Source organism: Homo sapiens, chromosome 22, assembly GCF_000001405.40.
Source record: "Homo sapiens chromosome 22, GRCh38.p14 Primary Assembly".
NCBI classification, from domain to species: Eukaryota; Metazoa; Chordata; class Mammalia; order Primates; family Hominidae; genus Homo; species Homo sapiens.
The window spans coordinates 46,570,822-46,590,932 of NC_000022.11; the positions used below are offsets into that span (position 1 = coordinate 46,570,822).

General features: G+C 58.9%; 1 protein-coding gene across 11 annotated transcripts in view, besides 8 other annotated features; it reads left to right on the forward strand.

The window, feature by feature from the left end:
• Window positions 1-4,922: 4,922 nt before the first annotated feature.
• The window catches only part of GRAMD4 (GRAM domain containing 4), a 107,013-nt gene continuing 91,824 nt past the window's right edge, over window positions 4,923-20,111 (forward strand). For 3 of the 11 annotated variants that reach the window (NM_001366660.1, XM_005261396.4, XM_047441206.1), the window contains exon 1: window positions 6,267-6,469. In NM_001366660.1, the coding sequence (NP_001353589.1) occupies window positions 6,441-6,469 (29 nt within the window). In that variant the 5' untranslated portion in view covers window positions 6,267-6,440. Of the gene's footprint in view, window positions 5,258-5,303; window positions 5,450-6,266; window positions 6,470-16,558; window positions 17,124-17,948; window positions 18,114-20,111 lie in introns of those variants that run through there. The other 8 variants (XM_006724169.2, XM_047441210.1, XM_011530012.2 and 5 more) reach the window with 8 other exon arrangements.
• Window positions 6,227-6,426: a silencer, noted in NCBI's record as "silent region_13912". NCBI's record gives its function as "represses an Ori minimal core promoter by ATAC-STARR-seq in GM12878 lymphoblastoid cells {active_cell/tissue: GM12878}" and the evidence as "EXISTENCE:reporter gene assay evidence [ECO:0000049][PMID:35858748]".
• Window positions 11,027-11,106: an enhancer, noted in NCBI's record as "active region_19241". NCBI's record gives its function as "activates an Ori minimal core promoter by ATAC-STARR-seq in GM12878 lymphoblastoid cells {active_cell/tissue: GM12878}" and the evidence as "EXISTENCE:reporter gene assay evidence [ECO:0000049][PMID:35858748]".
• Window positions 11,825-11,924: an enhancer, noted in NCBI's record as "active region_19242". NCBI's record gives its function as "activates an Ori minimal core promoter by ATAC-STARR-seq in GM12878 lymphoblastoid cells {active_cell/tissue: GM12878}" and the evidence as "EXISTENCE:reporter gene assay evidence [ECO:0000049][PMID:35858748]".
• Window positions 12,461-13,450: an enhancer, noted in NCBI's record as "NANOG-H3K4me1 hESC enhancer chr22:46979179-46980168 (GRCh37/hg19 assembly coordinates)". NCBI's record gives its function as "activates a minimal SCP1, AML or CMV promoter by ChIP-STARR-seq in naive H9 embryonic stem cells {active_cell/tissue: H9 hESC(naive)}" and the evidence as "EXISTENCE:reporter gene assay evidence [ECO:0000049][PMID:30033119]".
• Window positions 13,451-14,438: an enhancer, noted in NCBI's record as "NANOG-H3K4me1 hESC enhancer chr22:46980169-46981156 (GRCh37/hg19 assembly coordinates)". NCBI's record gives its function as "activates a minimal SCP1, AML or CMV promoter by ChIP-STARR-seq in primed H9 embryonic stem cells {active_cell/tissue: H9 hESC(primed)}" and the evidence as "EXISTENCE:reporter gene assay evidence [ECO:0000049][PMID:30033119]".
• Window positions 15,427-16,414: an enhancer, noted in NCBI's record as "H3K27ac-H3K4me1 hESC enhancer chr22:46982145-46983132 (GRCh37/hg19 assembly coordinates)". NCBI's record gives its function as "activates a minimal SCP1, AML or CMV promoter by ChIP-STARR-seq in primed H9 embryonic stem cells {active_cell/tissue: H9 hESC(primed)}" and the evidence as "EXISTENCE:reporter gene assay evidence [ECO:0000049][PMID:30033119]".
• Window positions 16,905-16,954: a silencer, noted in NCBI's record as "silent region_13913". NCBI's record gives its function as "represses an Ori minimal core promoter by ATAC-STARR-seq in GM12878 lymphoblastoid cells {active_cell/tissue: GM12878}" and the evidence as "EXISTENCE:reporter gene assay evidence [ECO:0000049][PMID:35858748]".
• Window positions 17,305-17,354: a silencer, noted in NCBI's record as "silent region_13914". NCBI's record gives its function as "represses an Ori minimal core promoter by ATAC-STARR-seq in GM12878 lymphoblastoid cells {active_cell/tissue: GM12878}" and the evidence as "EXISTENCE:reporter gene assay evidence [ECO:0000049][PMID:35858748]".

The following is a 20,111-nucleotide window of genomic DNA, read 5'->3' on the forward strand; positions in this document are numbered from 1 at the left end:
AGGCTGAGAAGTGCAAGGCCGAGGGGCAAATCTGGGGAGGGCCTTCCTGTTGGCCAGGCGAGCCTCTGCAGAGTCCCGAGACAGCACAGGGCAGCACACGGCAAGGGGCCTGAGAGGCCTAGCGAGCTAGCTCAGGTGTCTCTCCCCCTTCTTATTAAGCCACCAGTTCCCCCCTCCCCCATGATAACCCATTAATCCCTTAACCCATGAATCCATTAAGCCATGAATGGATTAGTCCATTTATGAGGGCAGAGCCCACATGATCCAATCACCTCTTTATGGCCCCACCTCTCAATACTCCCCATGTTGGAGATTAATTTTTTTTTAAGACAGGATCTCACTCTGTTGCCCAGGCTGGAGTGCAGTGGCACAATCTTGGCTCATTGCAGCCTCCAACTCTTGGCCTCAAGAGATCCTCCCATCTCAGCCTCCCAAAGCACTAGGATTACAGGCAGGAGCCACCTCGCCCAGCCGAGGACTAAATTTCAACATGAGTTTTGGAGGTGACAAATGTAGAAAGTAAAAATTCCTCTTCAAAGTTTCCCTTCTTGTTAAATAAATCATAAGTGTTAAAAATAATAGTTTCTTTGAAAAACTAACTTCCTTCAAGCCTCCTTGCTTTGTGCTAATAACTCTTTGTTAAGCCCTAGCCTATGTAGCTGCTAAACATGCTCACAGTCAACATAGTACATTCTATGTCCTGGAACCTTAACCAAGATATTTGTGCTGTACCTGCTCACAGGCATGCTCCCGCTTGCAGCCTATGCCCCTTCCCTATTTGGCATAAGCAACTTCCTCTTTTCCTTTGTCTTTCCATTACTTTTACCTTTTTAGAAAAGTTTTAAACTGTTAGCCAATCGGGTTTTAGTTTAGATTGTGAGGTCTGGCTGCAGCCAACGGAGACAGGACACAGTAACAGGGACAAACGCGTAAGGGATAAAAATTGCTTCCCTCCTTTGTTCAGGTGTGCTGTCGCCATTGTTCCATCTGCGATGAGCACCCTTTCTGCAGAAAGTAAAAATGGCCTTGCTGAGATAATTAAATTTATGTTTGAGTGCTGTTTCTTTGCAGCACTGGGGAATGAGCACTCTGTTTCTAGATAAACATTTTACATAGAACACAAATATTCAAAGCACAGCACCCCCTCCCACCTGCTTATCACCCAGAGGCCTCCAGTCTATACCCAGAAGAGCACTGATGGGATCCTGTTGTTCCTGCTTGAGACCCGGCCATGGCTCCTTCCTGCCCTGGGATATGGGCTGTCCTTCATGGCAGCTCCTGCTTTTTCCCAGCTAAACAGAACAAGTGGAGCTCTCTCTCTTCCCACCAGGCCTTTGTATATGCTGTTCCCTCTGCCTGGAATCCTCTTCCTACTATCTTATCCTAGTTAACCTCTGGTCACTCCTTGGCCTCTCTTAGAGTATCATGGCCTCCAGGAAGCCTCCTCAGCCTTCTGTGGCTCTCTGTCTCATCACTGACCACACTGTGACTTCATTGCCTGCCTGGCTCTGCCTCTCTGTTGGATAAGAAGGCCAGGGGACCTTCTTGAGTGTTCCTCCTTGACACACGTCCACAGCATAGGGCTTGGCACCAAGGAGAGGTCAGGATAAGTTCGTCCCTGGGGTGCTCTCAGCCTCAGTTCGATTCTCTAAAAATGATGAGGTTGGCCAGGCACGGTGGCTCAGGCCTGTAATCTCAGCCATTTGGGAGGCCGAGGCGGGTGGATCACCTGAGGTCAGGAGTTCGAGATCAGCCTGGCCAATATGGTGAAACCCAAACCCCGTCTTTATTAAAAATACAAAAATTAGCCAGGCATGCATGGTGGCACACGCCTGTGGTCCCAGCTACTGGGGAGGCTGAGGCAGGAGAATCACTCAAAGGCAGAGGTTGCAGTGAGCCAAGATTGAGCCACTGCACTGCAGCCTCGGTGACAGAGCAAGACTTCGTCTCAAAAATAAAATAAAATAAAAAAGATGAGGTTGTCCTGGATCCCTTCTCCCAGCCATGACCCTTATGGGGTGCCTCCCACATGCCTGTAGCAGGGGAGACTGGGGGTGGACTGCCCGCTGACCCTCCCATGCCAGGGCACAAGGACCCAGATGCATCTGGAGCTAAAACACTTCTAGCTCCTGGAATTTTCAGGGGTGGGAGGCAGGTGTCAGCACAGGAGGGGCTAAGGAAGCACCACCTTCCCACTGATTCCTGGCAGCAACCCGGTGCCAGGAGTGGTAGCAAAGGTGAGAGTGAGGCCGCCTCCTGGGAGCCCTGACTGTTGAGGAGTGGGACTGGGCCCCTCAGCTCTCTGGCTGGGACGCTGCCATCTCTGGCCCAGAGCTGAGAGCCACCAGCTGCTGCTCTGTTCAGTCTCCTATAGGAACCCCAACTCCCAGCCTGGGACTCTTCGCCCAAACCTCTCACTGCTCCAGATCCAGGGGCCTTCCTCCCTAGCCCTGGCCCCACCCCTTCTCCCCTAATCAGGATGAAAATAGCAACCGCCGGCACTTCCCAGTGCCATTTGGTGCCAGGTGCTGCCATCTCTGGGGGGTGGCGACGAGGTGATGTGGGGAACGGCCTGGAACCCAGAGTTTGCACACCCCGGGGCTTGGAGTGCTTCCTTCCCACCTCTCCTCGGTGGCCCCGGGCAGGTTCCTGAGCCCTCTGTGCCTTGGCGTCCTGTGTAATAAAATATGCGGTTTTGTGCATGTGGAGTGACAGCCTGGATACTACATGCCAAGGTACGAACCTTCCAGGTGCACCTGCTTGGTTCCAGGTCCCGTCTCAGAAGGTGAGGGGGGGCTGGGATATGAACTCGGATTGGCCTGCCCCTGACACACCCCTGCTTCTCATCGACTTATTTCCATGCCTTTGGCCACAGACAAACATAACAGGATGGCCTTGAGGAGCCAGTGGACAGTGCGGGGGTGTCAGGCTATATGGAGAGCCCTGCTACCACTTGTCACTGGTTCCTCTCGAGTCCTGTCATCTTGCCCCCGATTTCCCTCAAGGCTCTGAGGCCGGGAGGCACGGGTCTGAGGGCCCCGCTGGCCCCTGGTGTGAGCAGGCTCCAAGCCTCCTTCCCAGGCCACCCACCAAGCTCAGGGCTCCGCCGTGCCCACTCGGAGCAGCCCTGCCCCGCCATCCCTGTGTCCAGTTCTGCTTTGAGCAGAGGAGCAGGGAGCTGGCGGTGGCCTTGCCATCACCAGCTATGTGACCCTTAGGGTCTGGCGGCCACTCTGAGCCTGTGCCCTCGTGTGAGTTTGCCAGGGCTGGTGTAACCAACACCACAGACAGGCGGCTTACACAACAGAACTTCATTTCCTCATGCTTCCAGAGATTGAAAGTCTGAGATCAATGCGTCTGCAGGGCTGGTTCCTCCTGAGGCCTCACTCCTGGGAGTGCAGATGCCGCCTTCTCTCCGTGTCCTCATGCAATCCCCCCTGTGTGTGTCCGTGTCCCCATCTCCTCCTTTTATGAGGACACATGTGCTGTTGGGTTAGGGCCCACCCTCAGGGCCTCATTTACCTTCATCGCCTCTTTAAGAACCCTGTCTCCAAATGCAGTCTCATTGGGAGGTATGGGAGTTAGGACTTCAACAGATGAATTTTTTGGGGGACACAATTCAGCCATAAACGCTGCTCTGTAAATGGGCTAATAGGATGGCTGTGAAGAGCCACGGAGCAGGGTGGTGGGCACCACGCAATATCAAGTGTCCCCCTTTGTGGGGTGTGTGGTCCGTGCCTGTCCATCAGGCAGGGGCTCTGTCTGACTCTCTGCACTGCACCAGTTTTGCGCCCCTACCAAGCAGGGACTGGGCACCGAGCAAATGTCTGGAGGGTGGGCCAGATATGAGGGGCTAGGCATGCTGGGTGCCCTCGTCTGGTTTCCCTTTGGCTTCTGCCTGCTCACTCCTAATCCTGGCCGTTCACAAAATGAACATTTCTTGGGCGCTTGCTCTGTGTCGCGCTGTCTGCTGCAGCCCCTTTTCTGTTGGGGTACTGCCTGCCTCAGCCCCAGTGGTTCAGATGGCACTGCCAGTCACAGCACCCTGGCCTCTGCCCCCGCAGTCCCCTTGGCTCAAGCGTGGCACATGACCAAGCAGGGCGATGAGAATCCTTCCAGGAGACTTGGTGGAGGGGTGTGGGGCAGGAGGGGGTCTCTCTTTGGGATCGCTGCTGTGAGGATGGAGGCTTTTTCTCCACTGGGAGAAGCAGAGAGGTTCGGAGATGAGAGGTGAGAAGCAGCAGGTGTCCTGCTGGCAGAGAGACTGCCACTGCTGCATCCGCACAAACAGGTTGCCTTTGGGGCTTGGCTGAGGTGAGTCATTTGTGTACAAAATGACCCGGACAATGACACAGCCTGGCCAAGGTCTTGAAATGTGGGGACAGCAGCGAGGGACTCGCACAGGAAAGCTCTGGGCCTTTGCTCCCAGGAGCAGCTCACCTGGGCTGTCAGGGAGAGTGGAGAGAGGAGACAGGAAGGAGCACAATCAACAATGAAAACGATTAAAATGTGGTCACAGTGCTGGGGCAGGAGGTGCCCTAAGGGCCCCCCCCCTCCCCCAGAGCCTTGGCAGGTGGAGTCCGGGTTCATTTCTGACCAGGCTGGCTCAGGGCTTCCTGGAGTGGGCAGCTCTGGAGCTGGGCCTGGCAGGCTGGGTAGAGTTAGTGTAGGGCAGGTACCCCTGGGAGGATATGGCCAGAGTAGGGAGCGGTAGGCAGGAAAGTAGAGCTTGTGTTTGGGAAAAACAAATCCTGTTTCCCTGGAGGACAGAGATAAGGCAGGAAAGCCTGGAGGGTTTGGACAGCGGGGAGGGGGAGCCAGAGAGGTCTGGCGGTCAGGCCTGGTGCTGGATGGGGGCTCTGGGCACAAATGTGAGTCATCTCCGCCATCCTGGAAAGAGACGGTCCTGCAGACAGCGCGCCATCGCACCCCATGCTGCCTGCGGAGGCACAGGACAGACGCCACTGGGCAGCCCTTGCGGAAGCGCTGGATCCTTTACCCTGAAATCACTGGGTCCCCAGTTCTGCAGACAGGAACCTGAGCCTTGGAGAAGTACAGCTCACCTGAGTGCCTGCCTCTAACCCAGGTCCATCAGGGCTAGACCTGGAGGGGGATCAAAGAGAGGCCCTGAATCTTGCCACAGGGAGCTTCAGGTGCACTTGAGCTGGGGCCCTTGAGACAGAAGGAAGTGGGGAGGGCGGATCCAGGTCTGGAGTCTTTGGATTGAAAGGTTGGAGATGCCTGTGGGACTCCCAAGGTCAGTGAGTTGAGGGCAGGGCACTGGGGCAGGCAAGAGACACAGGAAGGGCGGGGCAGAGCACAGGGGACCCAGTCTGGGGAGGGGGAGGCAGAGAGGGCTGGGCAAAAACAGCCTCCAGGCCTTGTCTATTTTCTCCACTCCGGTTCTCCTCCACCCTCCCACCCCAACTCCTCGCAACCATCCTCCTGGGTAAGACACTAAAGCGTGTCCCCTAAACCTAGGGTTCTGCAGGGTGATCCCCTCTGCCCCTTCACTGAGCAGTCTCCTGTGAGCTAGACAGCCTTAAAGCGGGGTGGTGGGTGGTTTTTCTAGAGGGTCCAAAACCCGGGGATAGGTGGGCTTAGAGTGGGTCCCCTCTACGGGTGTCCTGCCCCGCAGGTAGTGCCTGGGGAGATGCAGGGGTGTGGGTGAGATTCAGAGAAAGGGTGGGCCCAGAGGTCCAGATCCTGGGGACAGACAGCACCCCGGGCACCTTGGGATGGGCGCGCCAGGTACTGCGCGAGTCTAGCGGGGTTCGTGCTGCGTCCCGTACAGCGCGGGCTGCAGGTCCAGCCCCGGCGTGGGGCCGCGTCCGGCGCCCCGCGAGGCGGTCGAGGAAAGGCATTTCCACCCGGGACGCGGGTTTCCACCGGCAGCCCAGTCCCTGACCCATCTCTAGAAAGGCGGGCGGTCCCGCGGGGCGCGGGCGAGGCCACAGCAGCGAGCGTGCTCCCGCGGGTGAGCCCGTGGCGTCCGCCGTGGCAAGCGCGCGGACGGCGTGGCCGTGGCCGGCGGCGGCCGCGCGTGCGCGTGGGTGCGAGCGGCGGGGGCGCACGTGGCCACCCAAACAAAGGCCGCGCCGCGTGACCGAGCTGGCGCACGCGGACCCGCCAGGGCAGGCGCGCCCCCGCGGACCCCCGAGCCGGCCGCGGGGCGGGGGCGGGGCCGGGGTGGCGCGCGGGGCGCGGCCCCTTTAAGGTGCGGCGCGGGGCGGGGCGGCGGCTGCGCAACGGGGCCGGGGGCGCGCAGACTCCGCGCAGCGGGACGCGAGCGCGCGACCTGGCGCCGCCGCCGCCTCCGCGCTCGTGGCCGGGACCCGCGGGGCCGCCTCCTCCCGGCTCCCCGGCGCCGCTGGGCTCCCGGGCGGGCGGCAGGCGTAGCGCGGCCGGGCGGCCGGCGAGGGGGGCGCCGCGGCGGGTGGATGAGAGTTGGCCCCGATATCCGCTCAGGGTAAGCGGCGCGCGCGGACACCCACCTACCCCGACCTGGTTGCCCCGCGACCACTCTCCCTTTTGGGCTGGCGGCTCGCGACCCAGCTCACTCGGCCGCGCTCTCCCCGCCGCCGCCGCCGCCGCCCGGGCCCGAGCCGGCGACCCTCCGAGCAGGGCCCTGCGCGGGCGCGCCCCGCACACGCCCCCGGGTCCCGCGCGTCACGGCTGCTCCCCGCGGGCACCTGCGGCCGCAGGTCCGGGTTCTGCCCGCCGGCTGGGGGAGACGAGGACATCCCGGGGTTGCGGGGCCCGGACTGGGGTGGGGGTCGCCGGACCGGGGGTCACCGACGCTGGGCCACTGGAGGGGGACGGTATCGGCCCGGGCCCGCCAATGTCGTCCTGCCGATCCACTCCCGGGTGGGACGGGAGAGGAGGAGGGCGCCCCAGCCCCTGCTTCCCTACAGACGACCTCTCCAAAAAGTTGTGGGCGCTTGTCCCCTCCGTGCACCCCACTTTCTGCCCTGTCTTCTCTCCCTTTGTTCGGGATGTTGAGCTCATGGGGCTCTGCTGGGGCGGGCTGGCACCTTGGCTGTAGCCCAGGCCCGTGCGCCTGCCAGAACGTGGGGTGCAGTGTGGCAACCCCGGCCCGAGGCCCCACATGTCTAGAGCAGGACCTGCACCCCTGCCAGGTCCTGGACAAGGGAGGGAGGAGAGCCAGTTTGTTCTCAGCCGGGTGGGCTGGTGCCCCTGCCCTGTTGGCTGTGTGGCAGAAGGTGCAGCAGTGCCCCGGGGCCAGGGACCTGAGTGTGACTCCCCCAGAGCCAAGTCCACTTTTTCGGCTATTGTCAACCCTGCATCTCCTGAGGTAGGAAAGATTCGGTTTGGGGGAGACCTTTTGCAGGATGGGGTTCCCTTCTTGCCTGCCTTGTGTGGGTTAGGAAGAAAATTCAGAGGTGTCTCTCCTACATGCCAAAAAGGAGGTGCCTGAGTCCCAGCCCAGTGCAGCCCTGCCCTGGTGCTGGGCCTGGGAGGGAGGTCAGGGTCAGGGCTCTGTTGCCTCAGAAGTCGAGGGCAGCACTCGAGAGAGGAGTCTGGGACTTGCCTCCCTCACCCTCCTGCTCTGTGACCTTGGGCAAGGTAGTGAGCCTCCTGGGCCTCAGTTTCCTCACTAGCAAGTGGGCAGGGGCAGGTAAGAGGATCGAATGGGGTGATGTGGGCCTCCTCAGGCTGGGCTCGCCCTGGGTTGGGGTTCAAAATGGGTTTAGGAGGTCAGTCATGGCCTCTGCCCCGGGCGCTGTGGCTGAGCCTGAAGTCTGAAGTCTGTCTTCCTGACTTTTGTGTCCCAGGCCCATTTGGGGATGCACAGTCTGGCCAGGGTGTGTGTTCAGTTGCTGCCTCTGCCCCGTGCTGGGGTGAAACCACGTTCCCCTGTTGTTAGCTGGGACTCCCCAGATGAGTGACCTCAGTAACCCTGCCCCTCCTTCCTGCTGCACACCCTTCCGAAGACCCCTGCCTGGTCCAGGAAAGGGGCCCTGCCTGTCTTGCCTTGCTCCTGCCTTGGCAGCCATGTGGACCCTTCTGCAGCACTTTGTGGTCCCGGGGCAGACCTCGAAGCCCCACAGTCCTCACCGTGCTGGGCTCACAGGGAGATGCAGCTTGGTCCTGGAGCCTGGGAAATTGGGCACCTGGGGTCTCAGTGAGCCACCAGCCCTCTGCTCTGCTGCTCTTTCCTCTCAGCTGCCCCTATGGCTGATGCGTGGAGTGCGGCTGTCCCAGCCATGCAGCCTGGGGGCAGGCGGGGCCTGTCCGGTGATGTCTGTCTTGCACTCTGGAGAGCACGGGAAAGTCTCCAAGTTGTGGTGTGTTTCCACATAGCCCTGGGAGGCTGTTTATTCTGGGTCTCCTGCTGAGGGAGGTGGAGGACCCTTCACTGGGAAAGAACCAGGTGGTCTCTCTCCAAACCACCAGCCTTCCAGGCCTTCCCCTTAGTACCCTCCTCTTATCTGTGGAGCCCGGCGCCGGCGTTAGGTGATCTTTGCTCTCCGCTCTCCCAGGCTTCACCTTCACCAACTGGAAAACGAGGGAGGAGAATCAGAGCCGGTTTTCCTGAATCACCATTTCTGCTGTAGAATAGAATAGAATAGTGGTTCAGGCTCAATGAAAAGAAAGTGTTATTGGAGCCTAGTGAGCCTCTGCTGCCAGGGAGGGCTGCCAGCCTGAAGCCTGTTTTCTCTTTGGAAGGAGTATCAGAGCAATGTTAGACATGTTACAGAAACAGCAGCACCCCACTTGACGGGTCCTGGTGACTTTCCTGTTATGGGAGAACCTGGGGCCCCGATAGTCCCATGATGTGATCTGTGTTAGTGATTGTGCCATCCGTGTGCCCCCTCCCCTCCCTGGGGGCCACATGAAGCCCCCTTCCATCTCCCCATGTTTCTCTGTTTGGGTATTTCTCTCCGGTAGCCGAATCTACTGGGGTTTATTTGGCATTGGGGTTCCAGTCCTGTCATGACAGGGCTCCGGCCAGGGGCTCATTTTAGGAGGCTGCCCCATCTCGGGGAGCTGGGGAGGCGTCCCTGTATGTGGGCTTCTGTGTGTCAGGTTTGGGGTCTCCTGCCTAGTGGCCATGGTGGGGACTTGGGTATTTACAGAGCTCCTGTTGGTGTGGGCGTGTGCTGGCTGGGAGGGAAGACACCAGGGACTGGCTGGGTGGCCTGGTCACCCCCTGCCTGAGTTCCTGCCTCCTCCCCTGCAAGGCGGCCCAAGAGGCTGCTGCCTGGCCTCTTTAGGGGTAAGGAGACTGTCTCTGCAGAAAGCCCGGGGCAGCAGGGACAGTGTTGGGGTGTGTGGCAGAGCATCCCTGCTCCGACAGAAATTGACAGTGAATTGAGGGAGAGAAGCTGTGGCCGGGTTTAGTGAGTAACAGGCAGAAGGCAGAGGGTGCTCGCTGGGAAGCAGCGTCTCTTGCCTGGCTTGGAGATGGTCATCTGCTGGGCGCCTCCGAGGCCAAGTGGACCACTCACAGTGCTTTCGAAGGCCTCTGGTTTGGGCATCCCACAGGCTGGCTTGGGGTCTCTTTGGCACCACGGTGGGTTTAGATCTGCCTTTTCTTTGCCTTTTGGTGGCACAGCAATGGTCCTGAAAAATACTGCTTGTAAAGGAGTAAAAGTTCAAGTCTTCCACCGTCAGGTGTGGCTGGGGGGTCTGAGAGGAGGCCTGGATCTCCCAAGGGGACAGTTATGTGAACAGAGTGTCACAGGCCTAACCCAGCCCAGCGGGTGGGGCCCAGGCCAGCCTGTCACCTGCTTGGAGCCCTTGGCTGCTGGGGATATGTAATAGTTTAACTTGAGAACTTAGAGGCAGGTCACTCAGACTCTTAGAGACAGAGGTGGCGCAAGAAAATGTGGGTTTCGCCGGGCGCGCTGGCTCACGCCTGTAATCCCAACACTTTGGGAGGCCGAGGCGGGCAGATCACCTGAGGTCGGGAATTCAAGACCAGCCTGACCAACATGGAGAAATCCCCACGTCTACTAAAAATACAAAAAATTAGCCGGGCGTGTTGGCGCATGTCTGTCATCCCAGCTACTTGGGAGGCTGGGGCAGGAGAATCGCTTGAACCCGGGAGGCAGAGGTTGGGGTGAGCTGAGATCGCGCCATTGCACTCCAGCCTGGGCAACAAGAGCGAAACTCCATCTCAAAAAAAAAAAAAAAAAGAAAGAAAGAAAAAAGAAAATGCGTGTTTCCCTAATTGGAGAAAGCCCTGTTGTTTTGCCTTTGGTATCTCGGCATGTGGCAGAGGCCTGGGCGGACACTTTGGGCTGGTAATTCGCCACTAATGACAGTCCCGTCTACAGGGCTACTGTTCTGATTGTTTGGTGTTTGAGTTATAACCTAGGGTTGTGATTATGTTTAAGCCCAGTGATTAAAGTCCCCTGTGGTTACACAGGAAAGGCAGGAAGTACCGGCCTATCAAAAACATTAATAATAGTAATAGAAATCACTCATTCTGCACAGCAGGCCTGCGCTGAGTGTTTCACACGAATTGTCTCAACCAAGTCTGCAGAGCACACAGCTTCACCCCATTTTACAGATGAGGAAACTGAGGCACCGGGAGGCAGTGCCACTTGCCTAAGTCCCCAGTTCGTTCCCGAGCAGAGCTGGGATTTGCACGTGGGTGGCTTTGCCCCCAAGGCTATGCTCATAAACATTGCAGCCTTTCTGCCTTCCTGATAACCCTCCTCTAAGGGGGGTTTTGTGAGAGAAATATCAGCAATAAACTCAAAGTCATGATGAGACTTCTCTTTTTGCTGTCAAATGTGCAGTAAATAGCAAGATTCGGACAGCATGTCCTGCTCAGGGCCAGACAGCCCTCTAAGCATGAGACATGATTTATTTTCGTACCAACTGGAGGTAGGTGCTCTTGTTAGCTGCATTTCACGCAGGAGGAAGCCCTGGCACAGAGCCACAGGTTGCTGCGTGGTAGAGGTGGGTTTGGACCAATGGGCTGTGCTTCTAACCTAAGCCCCATATGCACGGGGGTTGGGCGGAGAGCGTGCTTGATCTTGCTGCTGTGTGTTCTTGGGCAAGACACCTAACCTCTCTGGGCCTCAGTTTGGTCACCTGTAAACGAAGGCCTTGGCCTAGGGTATAGAAGCCAGAGCTTGAGAGCTGGCTCTGGCCTGAGATGGCCGCGTCTGCACCACCTCCCACAGGGAGGCCCAGGTGGGTGGAGAGGCCTGGCTGCCACTTCCCTAGAGGAAGCAGGTCTACTGAGGAGCAGTGCTGGGGCCTTGGCTGGGGCTGGGTGGGGCTGGGTGTGGAGGCCATGGGTGGTCGAGGAGTGAGGGCTTCTGGGATGCACTTTGCAGTGGCCGAGTCACTGCCCTCTGTGAAGTGAGGTCCAAGGAGGCAGAGCGTGGGGCTGCTGGGAAACCGTGAAGCTTTGTGCTTGGTGAATTGTTACTTGTCCCTGGGGAACAGGAGGGACAAGAGACTCTGCTTGGGACTCTGTGCCACCAAACTCCCGAGAAGCTGCAGTGGGAGAAGCTGAATGCTGGGCAGCGGGCGGTTAGGAGGCTCCAGGAAACGGCTCAGCCTCTCTTGGTGGGTTCCCCTGCCGGCCGTTCCTGGGACCTCTCTGCTCCACGTCCCCCCTCCAGGGAGGCCTCCCATGAGTGCCCCAGCTGTGCCTCTGCTGTCACTGCTCTCCTCTTCCTGAGGTTCTTGTTTGTCTACTGTTTACCACGCTTCCCTTCTAGAAGGTGGGCTCCTGAAGTTAGGGGTCTCTGCTCATGTCCAGCGACCTGGAGCGGCACCTCATTATGCCTGGTATCCTGGGACCCTGGCTCGGGTCTGAGCTGGGCTGTGGAGTTGGGTAGGGCCAGGAGCCAGGCTGGGAGTGAATTTGTTTGTTCCTCACTCTTGGTGTTGACCTTGGCCACCTGGCTGAGGTGTGTTTGTCAGCGTCTTTATTGAGGTGTAATTCACACATCATACAACACACTCATTGAAAGTGCACAGTTCACGGACTTCTAGTACATTCACCAAGTTGTGCAGCCATCACCACAATCGAAACCCAAACAGGAACCTGGGCCTTCTAGACACTTTAGGCACTCCCTGGACCCTTCCTCCCTGCCTGTGGTGACCACCTTTCTCTCTCTTTTGTCTTTTGAGATGGAGTTTCGCTCTTGTTGCCCAGGCTGGAGTGCAATGGTGCGATCTCAGCTCACCACAACCTCCGCCTCCCGGGTTCAAGCGATTCTCCTACCTCAGCCTCCCAAGTAGCTGGGGTGACAGACATGCACCACCATGCCTGGCTAATTTTGTATTTTTAGTAGAGATGGAGTTTCACCATGTTGGTCAGGCTGGTCTCGAATTCCTGACCTTAGGTGATCCATTCGCTTCGGTCTCTCAAAGTGCTGGGATTACAGGTGTGAGCCACCACACCCAGCCAACTCTATTTTTAAAAAACTGTTTTAGATTTATAGAGAAATTGCAGAGATAATACAGAGTTTCCCAATTATCCCTACCAACAGTTGCAGTTTGTCTGGTGATTAACATCTTACATTAGTATGATAGGTTTGTTACAATCCATGGACTAATATTGATACATTATCATTAGCCAAAGTACATAGTTTGTTCAGATTCATTAGGTTTTACCTAATGTCCTTTTTCTGTTCCAAGACTGCATCTAGGGTCCCAGATGACATCTAGCTGTCATGTCTCTCTAAGCTCCTCTTTGCTATGACAGCTTCTCAGACTTTTCTTAGTTTTGATAACTCTGACAGTCTTAAGAAATAGTAGGTGTATTGTGGGATCTCCATCCATTGGAATTTGTCTGTTTGAACAATTGGAATTCCTCTGTTGGAATTTGGATGTATTTCTCATGGTGCGACTGGGGCCCTGGCTTAGCGGGAGGAAGACCACAGGGGCATGGTGCCCTCTAACCACGTCACGCCAGGCGCATACCTTCGATGTGGCCCGCGGCTACTGGTGCTGACTTGGCCACCCACCTGAGATGTGTTTGTCAGGGGTCTTCACAGCAGTTCTTGTGTTTCCTCCTTCCAGTACTGTTGCCTTTGGGAGGAGGTCACTACACGCGGCCACACTTAAGGGCTGGGGAGTCACGCCTGCCTCCTTGAGGGCAGAGTGGCTGTGTCACTGATGTGGCCTTCTTCTTCAGGGGGGTCTGTCTCTTCTCCCCATTTATCAGTTTATGCAGCCGCTTACTTATCCATGTGGGTTCGTGGATACTCATTTAATCCTCTAGGTCAATGCGGAATGCCATTATTTTGTTTGCTCACTCGTTCCAGTGCTGGCCGTCGGGTTCCCTGGATGCACCCCTTCACGGTGGGTGGTGTGAGTCCTTCCTCACTTTCTGGCCCTGTGAGATGCTCCAGGCTCAGCTTGTCCATTCCCTGCCCAGGCCTAGAGTCAGCCCCTTCTGCAGGGAGCCCGGGTTCCTTTTGTTGGAGGGCAGAATCGGAAACCAAGATCCAGGTGGCGGGTACGCTCATCACTACCGGGGTGTCATTGCTTCTGGGCCCTCTTAGCTGACAGCAAGGAAATGCACGTGTGAGCTGACGCGCACATATGTACGTGTCTCTGCCTGTGTCCGCGTGTAGCCTCCTGTACCTGTATTGAGCAAAGTGTGAGTTCGCGCCGCTGATGAACTCTGATCCGTTTCCTGCATGGATCTTTCTCGTCTCCTTTCTTGCAGATCAATTCGTGTCTATTCAAGCAGCAGGAAGCCAGACTCCCACCGCTTGCCACACATCTACTTAATTGTTAGTACCGGTGTGTCTGCGTAGTGGGACTGGAGTTGTTAGTGGGACCCCCCGGGAAGCAGTTCCCGATCCCTTGGCTTCGAGCCCGGGCTCCCGGTATGCTGCCGCAGCATGGCTGGCTGGGGCTGGGGAGGGGCCGCCACCTCCCCAACATGATTCCACGACTTAGAGGGAAGAAGGGAGGGAGGCTGCAGGAGAACCAGGGACTTCCCTGCTGTGCTTAGTCAGCCCGGCCCCGCAGGGACGGGCACGGGCTTGGCGTTGCTTTGAGACGTGAAAGTGGGGCTGACTTAGAACGCATCCCAGAGTCCGGCCTCCTCGGGGAAGGAGGAGAAAGGCTGCCGGCGGGACGCTTTAGAGCTCAGACAAATCTCCGACTCCATCCTGGCCAGGTCTGTCCCCTCTCTGCCTCTGAACTTGCCACCCTGGCAGGGGACGGCCTTTGAAAAGATCTACAGAGCCGCATCTGCTGGGCTTTCTGTTAAGCATCTTTCATTCAGGAATGCGTCAGGCCCTTGCAGAAGTTTTGGGAAGAGAGAGAACCAGGTGGTCACTCCTCGTCTGCTGGTTTGTCGGCGGTGTTTTCCAGGCAGCATTTTGGGGATCTGAGTGGAGCCTGTCTTTTTTCTTTCTTTCTTTTTTTTTTTTTTTAGATGGAGTTTTGCTCTTGTTGCCCAGGCTGGAGTGCAATGGCGTGATCGTGGCTCATTGCAACCTCCACCTCCCAGGTTCAAGTGATTCTCCTGCCTCAGCCTCCCGAGTAGCTGGAACTACAGGCACGCACCACAACGCCCAGCTAATTTTGTATTTTTAGTAGAGTCGGAGTTTCTCCATGTTGGTCAGGCTGGTCTCAAACTCCTGACCTCAGGTGATCCGCCTGCCTCCACCTCCCAAAGTGCTGGGATTATAGGCGTGAGCCACCGCGCCCGGCTGCCTGTCTTGTTTTCTTGATGTTGGGTTAACTTCGGCCCTAGACCCAGGAAGCCTCCGGTCACAGCACCCCAAGGCCCTTGCCTGGAATACAAGACTTTCACCCTTGTGTTCGCGGTCCCATGAGGGGTGCTGGCCTCTTATCACCTGTCCGGGGCACCTGAATGATGCTTCTGCCTTCAGGGCACACATGGTGGAAGGGAGCTTGTGGGAGGTGGAAAGGTAAAGAGAGCCTGGTCTATGGGATGGGGAAGGGCCTGACCCTGCCAGGGAGGGAGCGACAAGGAGGGCTCCCTGGAGCGATGAGGGAGGGGCACAGGAGTTTATAGGACACAGGAGTGGGGATGGCTTGAGACCGGCCTCTCAGGTCAGCTTGTTAAAGGTCAGCCTCTGTGCAAGGCTCCTGGAGACCCAACCAGCATGTGCCTGCGGCTCCTCTGGGGCTAGGACTGAGGTTCAGCCACGTCTTGGGTGCAGTGGGATACCTGGCTCCTTTGTCTGCCCCCGAAGGCCCTTGTCTCTGTGCTATGGGGCTAGGCCCTCCCATGACCCCCACGTTTCCCCAACCCTATGGAGTGTGTCTAAGGAAGCAGGTGGAATTGGCCTGGCTCCCCCAGTCTGGGACCTAGAGCACAGCCCGGGGAGCCAGGGCTGCCCTCGCTGGGGATGCCAGCATTCTTGGGAATGCAGCTTAGGGGGTGGCCCACTCACCTGCCTATGCCCTTACCTGGGGCCAGCCTCCTGCCTTCCTGCTGACCGTGTCTCCTTCCTTGCCCTGGCTCCTCCCCACCGCCCCACGTGCCCCACCCCCATCCTCACTGGGCCCCACTGGCGCCTCCCTGCTTTCCAGGTTGAGATTGGTGGGCTGGCTCAGTCCGGTGCGATGGTCGGAGGCATTTGCCGGGTGATGCTGGCTCGGAGGGGCTCTGTCCCCTCCTCTGTCTGCCCTCCCCTCCCCAGCCCAGGGCTCCCTGGCTCCCCGGGCTCTGCTCTAGGCCCCAGACTGGGGGAGCCAGGCCAATTCCACCTGCTTCCTTAGACACACTCCATAGGGTTGGGGAAACGTGGGGGTCATGGGAGGGCCTAGCCCCATGACACAGAGACGAGGGCCTTCAGGGGGCAGACGAAGGAGCCAGGTATCCTACTGCACCCAGAGCTCTGGTGTGGCGGAATCGCTGGTGGGGTCTCAGCTTCTCAGGGCGACTGGCTGCTGTCCCTGCTGGGACATGAGTTGGGGGGAACCCCTACCTGTCTGCTGGGGAAAGCGGCCCTGGGGTGAGCCTGGCCTGAGCAGTGACAGCCTGCAGGGTCCTCTGTCTTCCTGCCCTGCAGCTGATGAGGAGGGAGCTGAGGCCCTGCAGCTCTGAGGGCACTTGGGACCTGGATGGGCAGAGGTAGAAAGGTGTGTGTAGACCTTGGCCCCTGGGTGGGGAGTTTGGCGTTTAAAAGTCTGAAGCAACACCCACACCCCGTCTGTGTCCCAGAACCCACCCTCTTACCCGGGAAGAACCGGACCGTAACTACCCTGTGATGCTGGACAAAGCCCGTGCTGATGGTCGCCTACTTCCTCGCATGCTTTCTCAGCCCACTCTGCGCCCAGTGGCTCTTGTTTGCCACAGAACCCTGATGAAGTAGATTATCCCCTGCCCTGGGGGAATGCTCAGCTGACAACAGGAGTGGACCCTGTGAGAGTGGAGGCCCCTGTGATCTGTGGAGCGTGTGTGCCCGCTGGGCTGTGATGAGCCAGTGATCTGGGGCTCCGGAGTAGAAGGTGACATTGTGTCCCCAGCCACTGCTGGACCCCAGCAAGGTGTGTGAATCATTTCACACATTCTCCACCCAAGAAGTGAAACTGTCAGGTTTAAGTGTGTGGGGGTGGGAAGGGGAAGTCTGTTCCAAAAGCCCAGCCGTCCGGAGTGACACTGGGCCATCAGCTCTGGGAGGCGGAGGCCGTTTGGGGTCCTGTTCCGGCTTCAGTGCCCAGGTTTGTGTCTTCTGCTTGCTTTCTGTAGCCCTTCTCTTCCAACTAGGGGGATAGTCAGGGTCTGACAAAGGCTTGAGGGGGAGGGCCTCCACCAGCAGCATACCTGGCAGGCAGCCCAGGCCGGGGCGGGGGGCCAGTGGGCTGGATGGGGGTCAGTGGGCAAGGCTCCGTCCTGTCCTGTCCTGTCCTGTCCTGTGGGAGAAGCCTAGGCAGGCACACTCAGCCAACCCCAGCTCAGGAGGGAGGGACCCAGAGGCACTGGCCCGAGGTAGGGTTGAAACAGGTGGAACTGACTGGTGGTCGTTGCTGGCCCCTGGAGCCTGACCTGCCTAACAGTGGAGGTGGCAGATGTTTGGTGGAGAGGAAGTGAAACAGGCGTGTGCGCCAGAAGCCCGGGCGTCGGGGTGGGGCCGCGGGAGGATGGTACAGGGCTCCTGATCCTCCCCGTCTGGGCAGACGCACTCACATCACAGGTTGGCAAAAGGCCTGAGGGTCCAGGGGGCCAGGGCCTGGTCAGGAGGGGCACAGGCGGGGAGGGAGTGGGTGGTGTCTACTTGGCTCTAGATGTCGGGTTTAGAGAGAGACTCTGGGACAGCCCCAGCCCTGGTGGAGCCCCATGGAGCCGCCTTCGGGGGCTCTGTCCCAGAGTCTCTCTCTAAACCGGACATCTAGAGCTGTGACTCAGGATAGGCAGGCCCTGGGGGGTCACCCCCAGCCACCCCATCTGCTTTGAGAACCTAGGAGCATGGGAGAAGCCAGGTAACCCCAGTGACTGCCCAGCGTCCCCCACAACCCGATGGATGAGGAGCCAGTAGGTCAGGAGGGGCAGAGCTGAGGTCAGCACACCTCCGTCCCTGTCTGGCTGTCCGTCTTCCATCCCTCCAGGCAGCACCACGCAAGGGCAGGGAGGTGGCAGGCCTGCTGAGCTCTGTGGATGTGGGGCAGACCCGGCTGGCTTGTTGGAGCACCCTCCCCGGGCGAGTGCTGTTCATATTGGTATCTGCGGAGTGGGTCAAACCACTACAGAGGGCAAGAGGGGAGCTGTGGCCTCTGGCCAGCCACGTTCTAAGCTTTTACAAGGCCCCACCCTGTCCCTCGCAGTCTTAGCCATCAGCTGCCTTTGGAGAATGAGCGATCTGAAGATGTTCCTGGCTGGGGGGCAGGGGTGGCCAGTGCTCCTGGAGCTGCGGGGTGCCCACCCTTTCGTCCGTCCTCCTTCCCCGGCCTGATCCAGGAGCCCCAGCACCGCCCTCTCCATCCCCGGGGTCCTTAGGCTTCCCTGACACAGGTCTCAGGAGGGCATGTGACACTGGCGTCGGTCCGGGCTGGGCAGAGCCTGGATGTGGCCCAGGCTGGGCTGGGCTGGAGCCGAAGCCTTTCTTCTCAGGTCCTGTCATAGCTGTGGGGCCTGGGGCTGGTGACCCAGCCTCTGCCAGCGTCTCCCCACCCCCTCCCACAGTAAGGTTGGTGACAGCAGAGTTCTCTTAAACATTTGAGATGTCCTGTGCTGGCCCGTGGCAGTGCAACCACAGCTCGTAACTGTGGCGCTGGGCAGAGGGCTGGGTACGCAGCAGGTGCTTCGTCAGTACTGATGGGAGAAGCAGGGACGGCAGGGGGCGGGGGGACCTGGATGGGCGACACTCCCCAGCCTGCTGGTGCTCCAGGGAGGACCTTTTCAGAGCTGGGAGACCCTGGCTCAGTGTCCTTGTCCCTCCAGTCGCTGCTGCCTTCCCGAAAGCCCTGGAGCCTTGTTAAAGAGGGCAGCCCTGGCTCTTGGGGGGAGTCCTGGGTTTGGGGGCGGCTCTGATATGGGGGAGCCGTGGGTGTGGGGGCAGCTCTGATATGTGGGGGAGCCCTGGGTGTGGGGGCAGCTCTGATATGTGGGGGAGTCCTGGGTGTGGGGGCAGCTCTGATATGGGGGAGCCGTGGGTGTGAGGGCTGTGCCTCACGTGGCCCGAGGGCAGATGGCCCAGTGTGGGGCTGGGCTGTTTGGGGGGATGGGGAGGGCTGCCCAGGGAGAAGGTGAGTGGGTGGCCCTATTATCTGAAGACCTGCTGGGGCCAGGGGATGTGGGGGGTGGCTGCCACCTCTGCAGTGACCCTGGAAGGGCCCATGCTGCCCCTGCTTTGCAGGTGAGTAAGCGGGTGTCTGAGAGTTCCCAGCTCTGCCTGCAGGGCCCATGCCCTGTGGCTACCCCCCAGTCCCGCTCTGTTTGCTTTATTTAAGTATTTTGGAAGATCACTCCTCAGCCTCATGGGGTGGATCCTTAACTCTTCTGGCCCAGCCCACTCCTCAGGTTTCTAGGTGACCCACCTGCTTTGTGTGCACCCTGAGGCCTGCTGCACTGCCAGGACCTCAGCCCCTGCCCTGCTCCCCAGCAGCCTGACTGCCTCCCCTCCCTCAGCCCCTCAGAGAGGCCTCCTGTCAACACCCTTTCTGCAGCTTTCTCCCTACCCCTTCAGCCAGCTCCCCTCGTGGCCCTCCCTGCTGCCTGGTTCCTGCGGCATGTATTGGTGGGGAGGCCGTGTCGCCTCCTGTAACTCCCACGGCAGTCTTGCAGGATGGGTCCTGGCCTGGTTGGGAGCCCTGAGTCTGGTTGATTCCTGCCTACTGTTGGCCCGGGTGGGCAGAGCCGTGGCAGTCAGGAGAGCCTTGGCCTGGGGGGCCAGAGCCCTGCCCCCACATCTACACCAGCTACTGGGCCGCCTGGACAGCCCTGTGCCCTGCGTGCCTCCTGCGTCCAGAGGGGCGGAGCTGGGAGTCTGACTGTGACAGCTCTGGGGCCACATGGATGGCCCTCGGCCTGATTCCTCTTGGTGGGAGGCTTTGATTGGGAAGCTGGGGGAAGGTGGCTAGTGGGTGGGGTTCGGGAGTACTGGGGACCTCTCCCAGTGTCCTTCCTCCAGCCAGTCCTTGGCAGAGAGCTGAGAAGGTGCCGGGGATGGGTGAGCGCTCCACTAACCCCGAGGGCTGGGATTGGCCAGGAGCGCGTCCCAAGGAGGAGGTGACCTGGGCCACTGTGTGTGTGACCAGGCCTGGGCTGCTGCCGTTAACACCCAGTCAGCTGGTGTCTGCCTGTTGCTCGTGACTGGCCTGGTTTGGTGGCCTGGTAGAGGGGAATGGGAGGGGAGAAACCCGGGCTGGGCCCAGGTGAGTGTCAACAGGGGAGGGAGAGAGCAGCAGAGGTCCCGCCAGGGCGTGCTTGGGTGAGGGGAGGAGGAGCTCAGAGAGATTGGGGGAGAGTCCACAGTGTTGTCTGAGGACAGCTAAGGACGATGGACACTACTAGTTTATAAAAACAGCCAGAGGCCGGGCACACTGGCTCATGCCTGTAATCCCAACACTTTGGGAGGCCGAGGCAGGTGGATTGTCTGTGGTCGGGAGTCTGAGACCAGCCTGGCCAAGATGGTGAAACTCTGTCTCTACTAAAAATACAAAAATTAGCCAGCATGGTGGTGGGT